The sequence below is a fragment of the Homo sapiens genome, chromosome 21, assembly GCF_000001405.40.
Source record: "Homo sapiens chromosome 21, GRCh38.p14 Primary Assembly".
In the NCBI taxonomy this organism is placed as follows: domain Eukaryota; kingdom Metazoa; phylum Chordata; class Mammalia; order Primates; family Hominidae; genus Homo; species Homo sapiens.
The window spans coordinates 13,048,198-13,069,792 of NC_000021.9; the positions used below are offsets into that span (position 1 = coordinate 13,048,198).

Consider the following 21,595-nt stretch of genomic DNA (forward strand, 5'->3'; position numbering starts at 1 on the left):
GAATTACAAGCCACAAAGAATAGAACATCTAATATCCAAAAGTAGGAATTAATAACAGAAAATTGCAATATTTGAATATTATAACCTATGAAGAAAAACATGTTTTTTGTGTCTTATGTTTAGTGGGAATTAAATTTTGGTGGACCATTGGTCCTCCCCTATGTTGCCCAGGCTGGTCTTGAACTTCTGGATTCAAGCAATCCTCCTGTCTCAGCATCCAAAAGTGCTTGCCTCACAAGCATGAGCCACTGCACCAGGCCAATATATTGGGTTTTATTGGGAATTTTAAATTGTTTCAGCAATAAGGTTGAAGAACAAATAATTTTTTTGCTTCATTTTTTATTTTAAGCATTTTAAAAATGTTATCTTGTTAAATCTTTATAATAACCTAGTGAAATAAGGCCCTAAAATCCTCATTTTTAGAAGACATTGAGTCTAAGAGAAGCAACTTGTTCAAGAAAAGATACCTGTTGGTAGCCATGCTAGGACTTATTCCGAGTTAGGGACATTTTCCATATGTCAAGCTAACTTTAGTTAATTTACTGAGTTATACTGCCCTCACTTTATGAGTGTTTTATCTTTCTTTCTTCTTTAATTAGAAGCTTAATAAGTTCATAGAGCTTGTATACTTAAAGTCTATGGAAAAAGTAATGTTCTGATGTTAGCTCTAATATTGTCTGAAATACTCTAAGAATGTAATAAATTTGGTAAATTTTTTTATATCAGTGTTAAAATAGTGATTTTATTTATTTCATTTTTATACATAGCATTCATCAACAACTTTTGGAATATAAACAAAAGATATCTAAAAATTCTCAAAATAGTAATCCAGGTAAGACCTCTGATAGTAAACTACTCTTGGTGGTGCTACCATAAGATTATAGGAGTGTTAATCACAAAAGAGCTATTAGAAAAGCAATGTGTAAGTAGCATGTGTTTACATATAGACCTATATGTAAGTGTTTTTTTATATACAAAGCTTTGATTTAATTTTTTAGTTTATAATTCAGAATTCATTAAGAATTTAGTTGTAGGTAGTTTATAATCTCAAAAATATTATCTGAAAAAATATTTGTTTAATTGTGGTCCCTAATATCCTATATAATACTTTTGTATAAATAAGTAAAACAATTTTTAAGTTTATCTATAGTATGTTTCCCAAACTGTCATAAAAATTTATGCTTGTTATAAAATGTATAATCCTTGGTGTGATTGATGAGCTCAGTAATAGGGGATTATCAGCTTATCCAATTTAATGAATTAATATATTTATAAATAAATTTTATTACAAATTATAAAATAGCATCGGTGCCTTGAATTACAAGCCACAAATAATAGAACTTCTAATAATGAAAAGTAGGAATTAATAACAGAAAACTGCAACATTTGAATATTATAACCTATAAAGGAACACAGTTAACTGTTTAATAAACAAATATTTGTTTATGTTTAATAAACAAATATTTGTTTATTTAACATAAACAAACATATAAAATGTTTATTTGTTAAATAAACAAATAAATAATTTATTTGTTTGTTTATTAAACATAAACAAAATGTTTATTTGTTAAATAAACAAATAAATAATTTATTTGTTTGTTTCTTTATTGTAGAGACATGGTCTCCTTATGTTACCCAGGCTGGTCTTGAACTTCTGGGCTTTATTTAATTTTTACAATAAATGATTTGCATTTAGAAAATTAGAATTAATTACAGTTGAGTATTGAGCAACATGAGAGTTAGGGTGCTGATCCCCCCATGCAGCTGAAAATCTGCTTTATAGGAAAATCTGTTTCTTTTGACTCTTCCAAAACTCTACAACATTCTACTGTTGACCTGGAGCCTGAAAAAAGGTGAAAGCTTAAGCAGTCAATTAACCCATAGTTTCTATTTTATATGTACTATATACTGTATTCTTAGAATAAAGTGAGCTGGAGAAAAGAAACTGTTATAAAGAGGAAGAAATATATTCACTATTTATTAGATGGAAGTGAATTATTATACATAAAGGACTTCATTCTCATTGCCTTTATGTTGAGTAGGCTGATAAGGAGGAGGCAAAGGCGAGATTTTTCTTAGTATCTTGCAGTGGCAAAGGAAAAGAAAAATCTGTCTATTAGTGGGCTCCTAGAGTGAGAACCCTTATTCAAAGATCAACTGTGTGGCATAGTGACTTGCGTCACTAAAAAAGTAACTATCTTTAGAATTTGGAACTCAATAATACTTTTCTTGCACCATAAATGAATGTCAATAAGAATTAACATAACTTAGCAAGGATGCATCAGTACCAATAGGAGATTATTTTTCAAAGATACCTACTGAGTGCAGAAGTCAGAAAAGCAATTCTTTGTTGAGAAGCACAGGTTATGTTACATAGTCTTGTACCAACAAGGTCTCACTATTATCAATTTCATTCCCTCTAAGTTGAAACCAAATAAGATATATTTACTTCATTAGAACAAGATGTGTTGTTCTATCTGCTGGATAATTAGTGTGTTGATAGTAATTTTGTTACAACAAGTTACTCTGTTCCTACTAGCCAAAATATTATCATTATAAATATACAACTAGCTCAACTCTAGGCTCAACGAATTATAATAAAAGTGGAAAAAATTTTCACAATAACAAAAGTGCTACTGTGATACCTAAATGTGACAGAATACATTGTACAATATGAACTGTATGAACACATCTTTAATTTATTACATATTTATCAAAGGACTTCTATAAGTTAGATTTTGCAAGTTGCAGGAGACCAACATGGAATACACATAGTCTGGGTCTTTAAGGTGCTCATAATACAGTAGAGCTGTCTCTGTTGAATTTCTTCATTTTTCCAACAGAATTTCCTAACTATGTTTTCTATTTGTGTATCCACTTGTCCACTTAACAAATAACTGTCAGGTATCTTTAAGGTACTAAGCATCTTTCTTGTTATTATCATTGTCATTTTTTATTATTTACTACTTTATTAAGTTACTAAGCATTTTTCTTGTTATTATCATCTTTTTTATTATTTACTACTTTATTTAGTGCTTACTCTGTGCCAGAACCCCTTTGGGAGCTTATAACTATCACTTATTATGTCATTACCATATTCAGTATGTGTCAGACATTTTATATCCAACGTGAAGAATTAAAGCTTTAAAAAGTTTGGTAGTGTCCAGGAGCGGTGACTCACTCCTGTAATCCTAGCACTTTGGAAGGCCAAAGCGGGCGGATTGCTTGAGCACAGGAGTTTGGGACCACCCTGACTAACATGGTGAAATCCCATCTCTACTAAATACAAAAAATTAGCTGGGCCTGGGTGGCATGCATATGTAATACCAGCTACATGGGAAGCTGAGGTAGGAGAATTTCATGAACCCAGGAGGCGGAGGTTGCAGTGATCTGCTGAGATCGTGCCACTGCACTCCAGCCTGGGCAACAGAGCGAGGCTCTTGTCTCAAAAAAAAAAAAAAAAAAAAAAAAAAGGAGAAAACAAAAGTTTGGTGGTATTTAAGGAAAGCAAGCTGAATGAGTAGAAGTTTTCCAGGTAAAGAGTCAGAAGGATGATATTTAGCAGAAGGAAAATTTAACCAGACTGTGTGTTTGGCAGAAGGAACATCTGAAGGAACACCTGACGAGGCTGCACCCTTGGCGGAAAGAACACCTGACACGGCTGAAAGCTTGGTGGAAAGAACACCTGACGAATAGGATACAGTGAATTCCTCTTCAAAGATTTTAGCCTGTAAACATCCTTTAAAATTCAAGAGGGGGGAAGATTAAGTACAATGAGTTCTGAGTTCCTCATCAAAGAACAAATATGTCAGTATGTTCAGCTTCTCCGTTCTTTGTTCTCCGTTTTAAAGTTTAACTTCCTCGTTCGTTATGCCTCCTTGCCCCTAGTTTCATTAAACAACCCCCTTCTAGCCTCTAACACCTGCTTTGTCTTTAGTCATTCTTAGTAACCTGCTCTGTCCTTAGTCATCCTTAGACACCTGCTCTGTAACTGTCTTTCCCGCTGAAACTACTCACCCTGCCACTCCAGCTCATACCCCTGCCCTCTTTGAAATAGCCAATCTGAATTGGCTTAGAGTGTGCAGTCCAACCCTATCCAATAGGGAAAAGACACAACAGTAGGGACTAGCTGCGTTAGAAATAAGAACACTTTCCCCTCCCTTGTCCGGTGTGATCTTGCCTTTGCTCCATCTGCAAGACCACTCTTCCATAGAAGTAAATTTGCCTTGCTGTAAAAACTTGTTGCTGGAGTGCTGACGGTTCTTTGTGGCACCGAAAATTATTTTCCAAAAATTTGAGGGCCCACCCAACATTCCCATTCTCCTCTGGGGGAGGGTCCAGTCCTCTCCCTTGAGGAGGTGCACCCCGCTGCCTCGTTGCAGTGGCCATAAAGGTAAGGAATCAAGACTCAACTGGTGCGATTAATAAACCCGGGCTCTCAGCAACGTGGAAAGAAACAGGCCAGCAACTCTGGGGAAAGGATCTTCACATACCGTGGCGACCAGGTAACTGTGCACAGACCGAGGTAAGAAATGTCGCAGGGGTGACAAAGTATTTCCTTGGTGGTCGGGATATTCTGGAGGTTGAAAGTGTGTGTGAATGATCACAAGCACTACTGCTTGTGGTGCTGTTTGTGTGGATGATACTAAGCATTATTGCTGTGAGGAGTGAGTGGGTCCTATCTGCGGTTTTTTATTTGAATAAAAAACCTTTGAAGAGGAATTCACTGTATCCTCATAGGGCTCAGGGCAGATCTTGCTGTGGGGTTTATACCATGATGCCAATGCAAAGAGGGACGGAAAATTCCTGGGAGGGAAGCAGCCAGAGTGGATGAAGTGAAAGAAGGGTGTGAGGAGCCTCCAGCAGGTGGGGATAAAGGATAGGGAAGAAATCTCTAGCATGCGGGATTGAGCCTAACCAGGACCTAACATGGGAAAAGCCCCAAATAAGATAGGGAGCAAAAAAGAAGAGGATAGTAACAAAGACATGCCCCTCATAGTCCCCTGGGTCTCATGTTAAAATATTGGAAGGATAATGAGAGGACTAAACATAAGAAAAAGCATTAGAGGATAAAATATTGCTGTTTCATTTGGACCCAAGGTCCCATTTTCAAACACTCAATCTTCTGGCCAAAGTTTGGGTCGATTGAGAATGTAATATGTCAACTTCTAATTCAATATGTTAATGATAAAAATCTGGTTTCTCAAGAAGAACTAGACTATGCTCTTTGTTGGAGACAGGGACCTGTCTTTATTCCCATAAAGACAACTAGGGAAGAACCCGATCCAGTATCTCAAATTGAAAAGTCAGACGAGCTGACTCCCACACCTAAAGCCACCACATGGGATCCCCTATACCATTTTGCCCTGCTCAGTACCTCTGACCCTTCCCCTCGGGCAGCTGCTGCCACCCCATATCCCACCCCAGATCCTTCTCCTGCTCACGCTGTTACTCCTCCTTACAACTCTAATTCTTGGGAGTTATCATCCCATGAGCCTGTCCCCTGTCAGCTTAAATACCTCTCCCTAAAGGGACTCCAGCATGAGGTACAGCAATGTAAAAAGGACGTTCAGAACTTCCCTTTTCCGTCCACACCTAAAGAGTCAGCCCCAACTCTCTTCCCCTTAAAAGACATGCCACAAGGAGGAGGAGCCATTGTATTTGTGAATGCTCCCTTGACCAGTTCAGAAGTCTGAAGTTTGAAAAAGGAAATTAAGCCATTGTTAGACGACCCTTATGAGGTGGCAGATCAGGTTGATCAATTCTTGGGACCTCAGTTATACACTTTGGTCGAGTTTATGTCCATCCTAGGCATCCTCTTTTCGGAGGAGGAAAGAAGCATGATCTGATCCGTAGGGCTGCTATGGCAATTTGGGAATATGAACACACTCCTTGTCAAAACGTTCCTACCACGGACCAAAAATTCCCTGCCCAAGATCCCCGGTGGGATAATAATAACGCAGCTCACCAAGAAAACATGCAAGACATAAGGGAAATGATAATGAAAGAAACTAGGGAATCAGTACCCCAAACTCAAAATCTCTCCAAAGCATTTGATATACAACAGGAGAGAGGTGAGTGGACCATGAAATTCTTAGACAGACTAAAGGAGCAAATGAGAAAATATGCAGGCCTAAATTTGGAAAATCCCCTGGGACAGGGAATGTTAAATCTCCATTTTTGTCACTAAAAGTTGTCCAGATGTCTCTTTTTATTTTTTTGAGATGGAGTCTCTCTCTGTCACACAGGCTGGAGTGCAATGGTGCGATCTTGATTCACTGCAAGCTCCGCCTCCCAGGTTCACTCCATTCTCCTGCCTTAGCCTCCCCAAGTAGCTGGAACTACAGGCGCCCACCACCACGCCCAGCAAATTTTTTGTATTTTTAGTAGAGGCGGGGTTTCTCCGTGTTAACCAGGATGGTCTCAATCTCCTGACCTCGTGATCCACCCACCTCGGCCTCTCAAAGTGCTGGGATTACAGGCATGAGCCACTGTGCCTGGCCAACGTTGTCCAGATATTTCAAGAAAGTTACAAAAATTAGAAGATTGGGAAAACTGACTTCAAGTGAACTTCAATGAGAAGTGAACCTCAAGTGAAGTAACCTCAAGTGAACCTCAGAGAGACTCAAAAAGTATCTGTGAAGAGAGACGAAGAAAAGCGAAAACAAAAGACAAAACTTATGTTATTCACCTTCCAACAGATGGCTCCAAACCCATGTACCCCTAAACAGAGCTTCCAGTGGGCCAGAAACTATAAAGGTTCCAAACCCTCCTTTAAAGGACCCAAGCCTCCATTGGGAGGATCAAGGCTCTCGTCTACCAGTCCATCTAAATAGCATGGGGGAGTAAAATCAAAGAATCCCAGAACTGAGAGTGGGGAAGGGCAAGGTAGGCACTACAAATGTGGAAGAACAGGCCACTTCAAGAGAGAATGTCCCAAATTAGAAAAGGAAAAAGAAGCCCTTCCACTCATGGCTTTTGAGGAAGAATAATGGTGTCAGGGGTTCTGTCTCTTTTATCTTGAGTCCCACCAGGAGCCCTTGATAAGTCTAGAAGTGGGACCTAAGCATGAGTTTATAACCTTTTTAGTCAATTCAGGAGTGGCTCGATCCTCTGTTTGTTTCCCCCCCATCTAATATTGCCTGCTCTTCAGAGGAACTTTTGGTGTGTGGGGTAAAGGGAGAAGGATTTAAAGCAAAAATTTTAGAAAACACAGAAGTCAGATACCAGGCTCAATCAGCTCATATTCAGTTTTTGTTAATCCCTAAAGCAGGGACTAATTTACTAGGCAGGGATTTAATGTTGAAGTTAGGCATAGGCCTGCAACTCAGCACAAGAGGATTCCTCACCTCATTAAAGCTACTCACCACTGCAGATGAAAAATATATTAATTCTAATGTCTGATCCAAAGAAGGAAACTGAGGGAAACTCTGAGTCCCTCCAAGCACATCAAGGTAAAAAACCCCAGGGAAGTAGTAAGGAGGAAACAATACCCCATTCCCCTAGAGGGTAGGATACGGTTGAAACCTATAATTGAAGGTCTTATTAAAGATGGGCTTCTTGGGCCCTCTATGTCCCCTTATAACAACCCAATATTGCCAGCCAAGAAATTAGATGGGTCATATCGGCTGGTACAGCACCTTAGGGCTATTAACCAAATAGTCCAAACTACCCATCCAATTGTCCTCGATCCTTACACCATTCTCAGCAAGATTCCATATAATAATCAATGGTTTACTGTAATAGATTTGAAGGATGCTTTTTGGGTATGTCTCCTGGCTGAAGATAGGCCAGATATATTTGCTTTTGAGTGGGAGGATCCCCATTCAGGGTAGAAACAACAATATCGATGGATAGTCTTACCCCAAGGGTTCACAAACTCCCCTAACCTTTTCAGTCAAATTTTAGAACAAGTATTAGAAAAAGTTATCATCCCAAACAAATATGCCTGCTCCAATACGTTGATGATATTCTTATATCTGGTGAAGATATAGAGAAGGTAGCTGGCTTCTCTACACATATTCTCAACCATCTGCAGTTCGAGGGGTTATGAGTCTCAAAGGGAAAGCTTCAGTATGTAGAACCTGAAATTAAATATTTAGACCACTTTTAAGTGCAGAGAAGTGAAGAATAGGGCCTGAACGAGTTGAGGGAATCGTGTCCCTACCCTTGCCTCAAACTTAAACAAGAACTCAGGAAATTTTTAGGGTTATTTGGATACTGCTGCTTATGGATTAACTCACATGCACTAAACAGTAAAATTCTATATCCAAAACTTGCCCAGGGGAAGACTGACCATTTCCTGTGGACTTCTGAGGAAGTCCATCAGGTTGAAGAGCTGAAAAAAGGCTTATAACAGCCCCTGTCTTAGCCTTACCTTCCCTAGAAAAGCCATTCCACCTTTTTGTCAACGTGGATAATGGGGTAGCTTTAGGAGTGCTCACTTAAGAACATGGAGGCCATTGGCAGACCATGGTGGCCTTCCTGTCAAAAGTCTTAGATCCAGTTACTTGTGAGTGGCCTCAATACATCCAATCCATTGTGGCTACAGCACTAATGGTCAAAGAAAGCAGGAAGTTAACCTTTGGAGGAAAATTGACAGTAATAACGCCCCATCAAGTTAGAACTATCTTAAACCAGAAAGCAGGGAGGTGGCTTACTGACTCAAGAATCTTAAAGTATGAGACTATTCTGTTAGAAAAAGATGATTTAACATTAACCACTGATAATTCCCTTAACCCAGCAGTTTTCCTAATAGGGGATCCAAATCTAAAGAGATAGCACACATGTTTACATTTAACTGATTACCATACAAAGGTCTGACCAGACCTAGGAGAAACTCCCTTCAGGATGGGATGACACTTATTTATAGATGGTTGCTCCCAGGTGATTGAGGCAAAAAGATGCAATGGGTATTCAGTAATTGATAGGGAAACTCTTGAAGAAATTGAGGTAGGAAAATTGCCTAAGAATTGGTCTGCCCAAACTTGTGGGCTGTTTGCACTCAGCTGAGCCTTAAAGTACTTGCAGAACCAGGAAGTAGCCATCTATACCAATTCTAAGTATGCCTTTGGAGTGGCTCATACATTGGGAAAAATTTAGACTGAACGAGGTCTCATTAATAGTAAACATCAAGATCTTGTTCATAAGGATCTAATCACCTAAGTATTGAATAACCTTCAGTTGCCAGAGGAAATAGTGATTGTCCATGTCCCCAGACACCAGAAAAGTCTTTCTTTTGACAGTCCAGGAAATAGCCTAGCAGATTACATAGGGAAACAGGCTGCCATTTCTTTTAAAACATCTATTTTTCACTGAACTCTTTACCTTCCTCCTCCTACCATAATCTCCATTTTCTCTTCCACTGAAAAGAGAAACTAATAAAAATAGGTGCTAAAGAGAATTCAGAATAAAAATGAATATTGTCAGACCAGAGGGAAATGTTGTTCAAACCCTTTATGAGGGAAAACTTGTCCCAACTGCATCAAGGGACCCACTGGGGGTCCCAAGCCATGTGTGACACAGTTCTGAAAGTTTTTGGGTGTATAGGAATTTATACTCTGACCAAACAGGTTACAGACATTTGCTTAGTATGTAAGAAAACTAATAAAAAAACTATAAAAAGATTACCCCTTGGGAGAAGGAGTCCAGACTTAAAGTATCCTGATTGATTACACAGAGATGCCTCCAATAGGTCGTCTAAAATATTTACTAGTGACAGTAGATCACCTTACTCACTGGGTCAAAGCTATTCCCTTTTCAAATGTGATGGCCAATGATGTAGTTAAGGCCTTAATTGAAAATATAGTGCCCAGGTTTAGGCTAATAGAAAACATTGACTCAGACAATGGAACCCATTTTGCCTGAAACTATTACATTTGATCCTTGCCTTGCTATACCTTTGGAGACTTGTCAAGTTGAAGACAGCTCTCAACTTCAGAAAAGTACCTCTGTACTTCCTGGCTCTCCTCAGACTGGACATTAGAGAATTTGGATCATTTAGTCTGCGAAAGTTTCAATGAAGACCCCAGTGTCAACTGGGAGTCTTGCCCCCTTGACACAGAGCTTTTATGATGTAGTTGGTCCAACTACGTGCAAGTGAGAGCAAGGATGGACTGCCCCAACAAGTAGTTGTAATTCCTAAAATCATACATTCATTTTACTAAAGATATAGCTCCCCCTAACTTTCAGGTAAACTAGTGCAACCCAATACAGGTTATTATTTCAAACCCTCAAAGATCTTCCCCTTCTCTAAGCCAATTCCCTTCTTTAAGCTGGTTTTATGATATGGGGGCTGAGTTTTCAGAAACGGACCCTATTGGATCTTTTGGAATATGCTTCATTGCTCCCCTACTGCCTACAGCTTCCCCTAAGTCTTCTTCCAAAAACTCTCACAATGAAACTGTTGTTCCTCCTCCATCTAATGAGAAGACCAAGGTAGCTATTGTAGAAGTTAAAGACCTAAAACAAACTTTGGTAACTGAGGCAGGATATCAAGATGTGAATGCCTGGTTGGAATGCATCAAATACTCCGTTCGCACTTTAAACAAAAGCAACTGTTACGCTTGTGCACACAGCACACCAAAGGCCCAGATTGTCCCCTTTCCACTAGGATGGTCCTTCAGTCGACCAGGCATGGTCTGTATGGTAGCTCTTTTCCAGGGTTCCACAGCCTGGGGTAACAAGTCATGTCAATCTCTCTCTCTGCTATATCCCAAAGTTCAACACCCTGCAGGTCAGCCTCCAAGGGCCATCCAGCTTCTGTCTCCCGACACTAAGTTCACTTCATGTCTCTCACAACAAGGAGGAAACTTAGCATTGTTTGGAGGCCTAAAAGGATGCAGTAAGCTTAAGACTTTCCAAGAGCTTACCAATCAGTCATCGCTTATACACCCCTGAGCAGATGTATGGTGGTATTGTGGTGGACCTTTACTGGACACTCTGCCAAGTAACTGGAGCAGCCCTCGTGCTCTAGTCCTGTTGGCTATACTTTTCACTCTGGCATTTCATCAACCAGAAAAAGGGAAAACACAACATTGTAAAGCAAGGGAAGTCCCTTACGGGTCTTTTGACTCCCACATTTATTTAGATGCTATTGGAATCCCATGAGGAGTACCAGATACATTTAAGCCTAAGATCAAATAGCTACAGGATTTGAATCAATATTTTGGTGGGTGACAATAAAAATGTAGATTTGATGAATTACATCTATAATAATCAACAGTGGTTTATTAATTCCACCAGGGATGTTGTCAAAGGAATAGCAGAACAATTGAGGCCAACTAGCCAGATGGCCTGGGAAAACAGAATGGCCCTGGATATGATATTAGCTGAAAAAGGTGGTGTTTGTGTTATCATTAAAACTCAGTGATACACCTTTATCCATTGGGGGCAAACAACACTGCCCCCAATGGGAGCATAACAAGGGCCCTACAAGGATTTACCACTTTATCCAATGAATTAGCTAAAAATTCTGGGGTCAATAACCCTTTCTCCAGATGGCTAGAAAGGTGTTTCAGTAAATGGGAAGAAATCATAGCCTCAATTCTTACTTCTCTTACAGAAGTAACGGCTGTACTCATTCTTGTTGGGTGTTGTGTCATACCATGCATCCATGGGCTAGTGCAAAGGCTTATAGAAACAACACTTTCTAAAACCTCCCTTAGCTGTCCTCCACCTTATTCAGATAGGCTTTTCTTTTTAGAGGATCAAGTTGAAAAAAAAAAAAAAGCCAAGACATGTTAAAAAGGTTTGAAGAGGAAGGGCTATAAAAATTGAAAGAGGGAATTGTAGAATACAGTGAATTCCTCTTCAAAGGTTTTAGCCTGTTAATGTCCTTTAAAGTTCAAGAGAGGGAAGATTGTTAAGTACAGTGAGTTCTGAGTTCCTCTTCAAAGAACAAATATGTGAATATGTTCAGCTTCTCTATTCTTTGTTCTCCATTTTAAAGTTTAACTTCCTCATTATTTATGCATCCTTGCCCCTAGTTTCAGTAAATGACCCCCTCCTAGTCCCTATCACCTACTCTATCCTTAGCCATTCTTAGTCACCTGCTCTCTCCTTAGTCATCCTTAGTCGCCCGCTCTGTAACCATCCTTCCTGCAGAAACTACCCACCCCGCCACTCTGGCTTGCACCCCTGTCCTCTTTGAAGTAGCCAGTCAAAATTAGCTTAGAGTGTTCCGTCCAACCCTAGCCAACAGGGGAGAGACACAAAAGTAGGGACTAGCTGCATTAGGAATAAGAACCCTTTCCCCTCTCTTATCCAGTGTGCTCTTGCCATTGCTCCATCCGCAAGACTCACCCTTCTATAGAAGTAAATTTGCCTTGCTGGAGTGCTAACTCTTCTTTGTGTCACCAAAAAGTTATTTCCAACATGAAGGTGCACCCTTGGTGGAGGGAACATCTGACGAAGTTCAATGTTTGGGGAAAGCAATATCTGGAAAGATTGAACAGTCAGCAGGAGAAACACCTAGGAAAATTACAAGGCCTGTGAAAGAAACATCTGAGAAATTTGCATGGCCACAAGAAAGGCCTTCAAAGACCACACGGGAGGAAAAAGAAACATCTGTAAAGACTGAATGAGTGGCAGGAGTAACATTTAATAAAATTGAAGTTTTGGAAGAAGGAACATCTAAGATGATCACATGTCCTACAAAAAAACAGCTACAAAAGCAAGTACAAATGGTAAGATGCTTGAGTGAACTTTGTAGAGTTTATTGGCACTCTGGGTTGCCTAATGGAAATAGTGTGGTATGGGAGTAGTTGGGAATGGCTTGAATGTCTAGATAACGCAAGCTTAGGCAACACATTTTAATAGTGTAGAAATGAGTAGATCTTATTCTGTAGGCCCTGGAAAAATTCCCAAAATAGTTCTGGCTGTAAATAATAGATGAACTAACTAACAATTGCTAAAACCATAGAAACCAAAGTTGTTTTGGTGGTACAGGGATGTTATAGGATCTCACTCACCCCCCCATTATTAGTTGTGCTATTGGCAGTGTTTTGTTCATGTCTCCTTTCTTGGTTGGCTAATTAGCAACAGCTCCAATCATCATGCTATCTCAAGACAATATCTGAAGGCTGGGAGGGCTGCTTTTGTTCACATTTTTTTTTAATGGGAGAAAACTTGGAAGCTTTCAGTAATCTTCCTGTAACATTTTATTGGCTGGATTATACCACATGCTTATTTCTATACCAATCACTAGGAAAGCAAATGTAATTACTGTGATTAGCTTACAATAATGATTTTTCTTTTAAGATGGGATGGGTGTAATGGAATAATAAATATCTAAATGAGCATGTGTTTCTGCAGCAATAAAGAATAAATAATGACTATGCATAGGAAGCCAGCAATGTTTTCTGCAGGAATTCAGTGGAAAAGTTTGAGCAGGGGAGTCACAAGATTAGATTTGAGTATCAGGGCATTCTGGTCATGGTATAAAGCAGAGATTGGCAAAGTTTTCCTGTAAAGTGCCAGATAGCGAATATGTTGGGCCATGTGGTCTCTATTACAGCTATTCAACTCTGCCATTGTAGAGTGAAAGGAGTCATAGATAATGTATGGGCAAAGAGGCATGATTGTACTCCAATAAAAGTTTGTATAAAAAACCATTTAGAAAGCTGAATTTGGCCTGTGGCCTATAGTTTTTGGCCCTTCATATAGTAGATAGATGGAGGATAATCACGTAAAAAGATTGAAAGATTAAGCTTTTGTAGTAGTTCATGTGATAGTCTTTTTTTTTTGTAAACAATCTGTGGCCTAGTATCAATCTATTATGAAAGTTTGATCCATCAAGGGTAAAATGAATAAAGTTCAGAAGCTCAATTTACACATTTAAACATGTAGGTCCTTCTTTGGCATTATTTTATTTTGATTAATTTTTTTAACTTAAAAAATAAGAACAGTAATTTGTAGGGTTTCTTTTTCCCTGTGAAAGCCATCAGTTAAGGGGCCACGTTTAACAAGGAAATATAAATATAAAATAAATAAGTTTGTATTTCCAGTGGCACTGGAAAGATAAAGCAAAGGCAGAAAAGAGGTGCAGTTAATATGGTTTAGTGATAATTGAGTTTAAAAAGCTAGGGGACAGATAAAATCTCAGGTCATTCATAAGTTTTCAGATTGTGCACAAGCATTTACAATGCTCATGGGGAAGGAGTAGGAATTTGTCAGGTTAACAGGGAAGTGCAAACAGTCATGGGACAGACCAACAGTTTTCTTTACATATTGAGTTCAATGAAACATTTGTGAGGGATACTTTCAGTAGGTAATTGGATTATATGCATTTCTAGCTGGAGATAGAACTCTGGTTGAAGATGCAGGCTTAGAATACCTTTATTATAATTATTAGGCAAAGCCATAGATCTCAATGAGCTTATCCATGAGGCAGAAGATGTAGAATAAAAGGAAAGCCATTGACAAAACCCTGGGAATATCAACATTTCACAAGAGTCAAAGGACTTGGTAAAGGAGACTGAGCAGTGGTTAAACAAATGTAGGAGAGGAGTCTGAGAAAGTGATGTTGCAAATTTCTTTTAAATGTGAGAATTTCAAGCAGTAAAATTACTCAAAAGGCTACTGGATTTAACTTACAAGTTCTTCAGTGGTAATCTGTTCAAAAGAATTATTTTAGTTGTTAGGTATACTGTTGATGTGGTTGATAATTCTGGTATCCAAGAAGAAATCTCCCAAGATCCTACCTAACTTTTTGTAACTAAAGCGGCATACATACACAGGTAGTGGGAAAATGTCTAGACTGGTGAGTACACATACCAACATTTTTCCAGAATTTTCTGCCTCCTTATTATACCACTTGAGTAAGGGGTTTAGAAATTTTAGGCTCTACTTGGGAATTTGTCTATTTCTTTTGCAGTTCTATCAATTTTTGTATCATGTATTTTGAAGCATTTATGTTATTATATACATAAATATTTAGGACTGTTATGTTTTCTTGATTAATTGAACCATTTGTCACTATGAAATGACCTTGTTTATTGCTGGTAATATTTTTGCTATGAAATGTACTTTGGTATTAATACAACCACTCTTCCTCAGCCTTCTTTTGTAGTGTTAGTGTGATATATCTCGTTTCATCTTTTAACCAATTTTTGTCTTTATATTTAAAGTTTATTTCTTATACTCATTATACAGATAAGACTTGCTCTTTTATCCATTCTGATAATCTGCCTTTGAGCAGAGGTTTTTAGACCAGTTTAATTTATAATGTAATTATTGATATGATTAGAGTTGTCTGTCATCACACTGTTTGATTTCTATTAGTCTCAGATCTTCTTTGCTTTGCTTTTTTCCTTTTTCTGCTTCCTTCAGACTAGTTTAGTAATTTTTATGATTTAGTTACATATCTGTATATGCATAACTTTTTTAGTTATTAATCTAGTTTTACATTTCTTTACAATTTAGTCATATCTTTTTTGGTATAAGTTTATTTGGTATTAGGTATAACTCTTTGCTGTCTTAGTAGTTGCTTTAGGATTTATAATGTATGAATTTACCTCATCACAATCCACCTTCAAGTAATATTATATCATATCATAGATGGTATAAGAAATTACAATCATATTTTCACTTCTTTTCTATCAACCAGATCCCAGCCTAGATCTGTGGGATTATGGCTTTCGTTAAGTTTAGAACATATTTAGCCAATTTTTCCTCAAATTTTTGATTCTGCCTCTCCTCCTATCTCTTTGGGGACTTATATACTACCTGCTGGAAGTTTGCTCATCGTTCACTAGTGTCTCAAATTTGTGAATCTTTTCTTTCATGATGGCGAATTAATCTATGCTCATATCTACTCAGTGTAGCTTTCATCTCCAGCATTGTAATTTGTATCTCTAAAAGTGCAATTTGGTTTTTAAAAGTATCTTCTATTGCTTTATTTATCTTCTTGATTTTTATAGTTGAGTTACTTATAAACAGCTTGATCCTTTTCATTTTTCTTTTTATGGTGTGAGCTAACTCCCCATACCTGAGACAAGGCCTTTCTGAGTATTCATTTTCCTGTGAAGTCTGAGTTTTCCCAGGCAAATCTATAAAAACAGACACTCTTCTTGGCACTGTATGAGTACCAGGTGTGATTTCCTCTAATTTTATAAGCCAACCCCCACCCCCATCCGGTTTGTTCTTAGGTAGTTTTCTATCTCACATGCAATTTTCAAAATTTTGCTAAATACTGACAGGGGGTTTCTTGCCGTTGCTTCTGTATCTCTCTCTCCTCCTCAGTGTTTGTTCTGTAATATCTGCCTGCTTTGGTTTTACTAGACTCTAAGCTTCATCAGTGTAACCAAGAGAGTCTGGTAGATCCCACCTCAGTTTTTTCTTCCTGTGTCATGTCTCGGAATCTCTGCCAAGACAGGAAGCTGAAACATTCAGAAGGTTTGCTTTCTTTCGTTTTTTTATTTTCTGTTTTTCAGGGATTATTATCTTCTTTGCCTAATGTCCAGTATCTGAAAAATTGTTTAATGTATTTTGTGTGTTTTGTTTTTAGTTATTTTAGCTAAGAAGAAAAATCATACCTGTTGCTCTCCCTTGGCTAGAGGAAGACTACACTAGAGTTTCAGCACATGCCACAGACTGGCTAAAATGCTTTCCTTCCCTGTTTGCTCAACTGCTTCCTTTTCATTCTTCATTCCTCAGTGTAGCTATACATCCCTCGGGGGAATTTTCCATGAGCCTAGTATAGATCTAAATCTTAGCAATCTGTTTTCTTACAGTATTTATCTGAATTTATAACTGTCACTTTTCTGGGGCTTTGTCTTTTAGCACATTTTAAGTTAAACAAATGCAGAGGTTTTTGTTTTTTTCTGTTTAATCTGCAGAGCTTAGTATAATGCCTTCCACGTGGCAGGCAATCAATATATATTTGATCAGTGTATGAATTAATGATTGTTAAAATATGCAGTTCTCTGTATCCCAAAAGTACTAATATATTTTATTTCTATCTCCTCCTTGAGACACATTCAACTAGCCTATCAAAAATCTTGGATGCAGTTCTTTCTTGTGAAAGAGCAAGGGAACTTAAAAAATATCCCTGTGGGCCAGGCGCCATGGCTCACACCTGTAATCTCATCACTTTGGGAGGCCAAGGCGGGCAGATCATGACGTCAGGAGATCAAGACCATCCTGGCTAACACAGTGAAACCCCGTCTCTACTAAAAATACAAAAAAAAAAATTAGCCGGGCGTGGTGGCAGGTGACTATAGTCCCAGCTACTCGGGAGGCTGAGGCAGGAGAATGGCATGAACCCGGGAGGCGGAGCTTGCAGTGAGTGGAGATCGCGCCACTGCACTCCAGCCTAGGCAACAGAGCGAGACTCCGTCAAAAAAAATAAAAGAAAAAAAAATCCCTGTGAACAACTTACAGCAAAAATGAAACAAATGAAAAATAAGCTTCGTGTACTACAAAAGGAACTAACAGAAGCAAAATAAATAAAATCATAGAGAATCAAAAACTTAAAAGAGAACAAGAGCTCTGCAGTGTGAGGTATGACATACTAGTATATAGGATACTTTTTGTACTAGCTGACATACCTTCTGAGGTTTAACTGGAGAAAGAAATCTCTGTCTTGTAGAGTGTCAAATTCATTTAAATAATACAATTTCTTAACTGTGAATACATCTCCTGATAATTAAATGCATATTTATTTAAATCACAATTTTAATGGCTGCATAGAAGGCCATTATTTGGAAACCCCATTATTACTTAACAAATTAATTTTTTTTATTTTTAATTTTTTGTGTTATAATAAGTGCTGCAAGGCATAACTGCATGTAAATCTTTTTCTATCATTCTAATTATTGACTTGGAATAAATTCTTCACTATAAAAATATTTGGTTAAATTATAGGTTGCTCTACCCCCAATAATCATTTTCCTTTAATTATACACTTGTAATCTTAATATGCATGGAGTATAAAGAAAAATATAGGTAATTTATGACTAGTATATTCAACATCTCTCTCTCCTACATAAATAAAATTAATTCAGAGTTGTACTTATTATTTTTATATTTTAATTAAATATATTCTGTGTTATTCTAAAAGAGATTTAAAATTTGTTGATAAAATGTATAATAATCAACAAGATACATTTAAAGTATTACTAAAAAAAGAAACAAAACATATATGGGATAACAGATATTAGATTTTTCAGCCTAGTCTCAGATTTTAATATAATTATTTTTAAGGATACTTGCCTTATTTTATAAAGATGAATATTTATGTCTAATGAATATGTAAACTTGTTTACAAAAAGTAACGTCATTTTAATTAGTTAACTCTAAATGATCTGTCCTTATTGAGGAGTAATTTTGACTGTTATATTTTTAAAATAATAATTTTCAACTTATAATTTTACTGGATAACTTCCAGTATTCTTTTCCATAACTGTTGTTGAAGTTACTGGTAACAGAATCTTTCTAACTAGAAGATGTTCTTTCTCATTATTTTTCAAGTATGTGCATCATTTGGAAGAGAGTTCAGTAATAAATTAAATACCTCAGAACTAGAAAGAAAAAACATATTCAAGAATATAGAAATTTTACTGGAATAATAAACCAATATACGAAGAAGTAGATCTCAAAGTGAATTCTATGTTCTAACAAAATGAATTTTAAGATAAGTATATTTAATGGCAGATTGACTTTAAACCAAGAAGAAGAGAAGAGAAGAAATGCCAATATATTAAATGAAAAATTAGGGAAGAATTAGGAAAAATCGAAGAGCAACAAAAGAAAAAGTTAGAAGTGAAGCAACTTGAGCTCACTCTCCGAATATACAAAATATGGAATTGAAGACTGTAAGAAGTAATTTGAATCAGCTCAATCAATCGCTGGTAAAAATTTTATATTTCTAACTTTATTTCATCAATATTACTTTTAATATCCCTTCGATTTAGTATGTATTATTCAGAATTATGATAATGCCGCTATAATATTTAGGTACAAACTTTTGTATATTTCATTCATAAGTTTTCATTTCTTTTGGGTATGTACCTAGGAATGGAATTGCTGGGTCATAAGGTACCTATGCATAACCTTTTCATCAATCACCTCACAGTTTTCCAATGTGTGCACTATTTTACTTCCCCACCAGCGATGTATGAAAGATCTAATTTCTCTACGGCCTCACCAGGGTGGAGTGCAGTGGCGCACTCTCAGCTCACTGCAAGCTCCACCTCCCGGGTTCACGCCATCCTCCTGCCTCAGCCTCCCGAGAAGCTGGGACTACGGGCGCCTGCCACCACGCCCGGCTAATTTTTTGTATTTTTTAGTAGAGATGGGGTTTCACCATGTTAGCCAGGATGGTCTTGATCTCCTGACCTCGTGATCCGTCCGCCTCAGCCTCCCAAAGTGCTGGGATTACAGGCGTGAGCCACCGTGCCCAACCATTTGTCATTTTTTATTGTGGGTACACTAGTGGGTGTTAAGTGATATCTGCTTGTGGTTTTGATTTTGCATTTTCTTGATGGCTTGTGATGTTAGGCTTTTCTTCAAGCACTTATTGGACGCTCTTATATCTTCTTCACAAAAATGTCTATTTAAATATTTTGCCTATTTTTATGTATTTTTTCTTTTTGTTGTTGAGTTGTAAAAGCTATTTGTGCATTTTGGATACAGATTTCTAATCAAATATATAAGTTGCAAACATTTTCTCTACTTTTCTGGTTGTCGTTTTGTTTTCTTTGTTACGTCCTTTGAAACACAAATGTTCCTAATTTTGATGAAGCCCAGTACATTTTCTTTTATCACTGTGCTTTTGGTGCCATATCTAAGAAACTACTGCCAAATCAAAGGCCATAAAGATTTATTGTTATTTTTTATTCTAAGAGTTTTATAGTTTTGCAATTCAGAAACATAAAATCAAATACTGCATGTTCTTACTTAAAAATGGGAAATAAATAATGTGTACACATGAACAAGGAGTGTAAAATGATAAGACACTGTAGACTCAGAAGGGTGAGAAGGTGGGAGGGGTAAGGGTGATGAGAAATTACTTAGTGGATACAGTGTACATTGTTCCAGTGATAAACACACTAAAAGCTCAGACTTCACTCCTACCCCATATACCCATGTAACAAAATTGCACTTGCAATCCTTAAATTTATACAGTTTTAAAAAATGGTTTTAGAGTTTTGGTTCTGTGATTAATTTTATAATGTTTCATTGTGGTAAAGCACATATAATAAGCTTTGCCATTTTAAACATAAAAGTCAGAGGCATTAATTACATTCAGAATGTTGTGCAATCATCAAAACTATGTATTTCCAAAAAAAATTTTCACCCCAAACTGAAACTCTGTACTCATTAAGCAACAACTCCTCATTCTCCCTTTCCTCCCAAGTCCCTGGTAGGAATAAATTTTATGGCATTTTAATTAATTTAAGTGTAAAAAACTAAAAGCAGCTGGTGGCTATCATACTGGACCTCACAGTTCTAACACCATCAGTATCAACCCCTGGACAGATATAATCATTCCTAAGCTGCCTTTACATTTATTATTATTCTATTTATGGTAATCTGTAATCTATTCTCCCACAAAGCTGGACTATTCCTGTAAGAACATATCTTATACCATTTCATTCCCAGCTCTGAATCCTCCAGTGGTTACCTATCACAATTAACAAAGAAATCCAAGCTCTTTACTATGGTCTGTGTTTATCTGCTCCTCAGACTGTGCATTCTCCTTTCCTCCTCCCAGTGCCTGCAGCCTGACTGGACTTTGTAGTGATCTTTGAGCTCATCAAGTGCTGTCTGTATTCAGACTCTGCACAGTGTCTCTTCTCTCTGCCCTCTAGACATTCGCTTAACTTACTCTGTCATACCATTCTGACCTGCTCAAGTGTCATCTTCTCAAAAAGATTGTTCCAGAGCTCCCTATCTAAAGTAGCAGTTGCTGACACCATGAATGTGATTACCCTACCTTGTTTTCTTTGTATTATTATACTTTTTATTTCGACAGGGCCGCAATCTGTCACCAAGGCTAGGGTGCAGTGGCACAATCATGGATCACTGCAGCCTCAAACTCTGGGGCTCAAGCAGACCTCCTGTCTCAGCCTACCAAGTAGCTGGGACCACAGGTGAGCACCACCACACTTGGCTAATGTATTTCTTCATAGCACTTAGTACATCCATCACTTTAGTGTGCAACTGTTTACGCATTTATGTTCTATCTCTGTCACTGTACTGCAAGCTCCATAAAGACAGACCTTCTCTCTCCAGTTCCCATAATACTACCCAGCATAAAATAGGCTGTAAGTAAACATTTATTGAGTACATAAAAGAAGAATCTTATTCATGTCAAGGCTGTAATCTATGTTAGACTCAAAGAGATAGTCTCCTGACTAAATGGAAGTGTTTCTTTATTGAAGCATGCCTTTAAAAAAAGTGTTGCACATGGTGGATAAGCTTTTGTATGTGCTGCTGGATTCACTTTGCCAGTCTTTTATTGAGGATTTTCACATCAATGTTCATAAGGGATATTAGCCTGAAATTTTCTGTATTTGTTGAGTCTCTGCCAGGTTTTGGTATCAGGATGATGCTGGCCTCATAAAATGAGTTAGGGAGGAGTCCCTCTTTT

At 37.6% G+C, this 21,595-nt stretch overlaps 1 pseudogene across 1 annotated transcript in view; it reads left to right on the forward strand.

Annotated features, from left to right (window-relative positions):
- The window catches only part of ANKRD30BP2 (ankyrin repeat domain 30B pseudogene 2), an 80,086-nt pseudogene that overhangs the window by 10,032 nt on the left and 48,459 nt on the right, over positions 1-21,595 (forward strand). Inside the window, exons 5-11 of the transcript NR_026916.1 lie at positions 768-832; positions 3,599-4,505; positions 12,269-12,686; positions 14,643-14,761; positions 16,978-17,502; positions 18,655-18,851; positions 20,978-21,095. The product of NR_026916.1 is annotated as an ankyrin repeat domain 30B pseudogene 2 (transcript). The remainder of the gene's footprint in view (positions 1-767; positions 833-3,598; positions 4,506-12,268; positions 12,687-14,642; positions 14,762-16,977; positions 17,503-18,654; positions 18,852-20,977; positions 21,096-21,595) is intronic.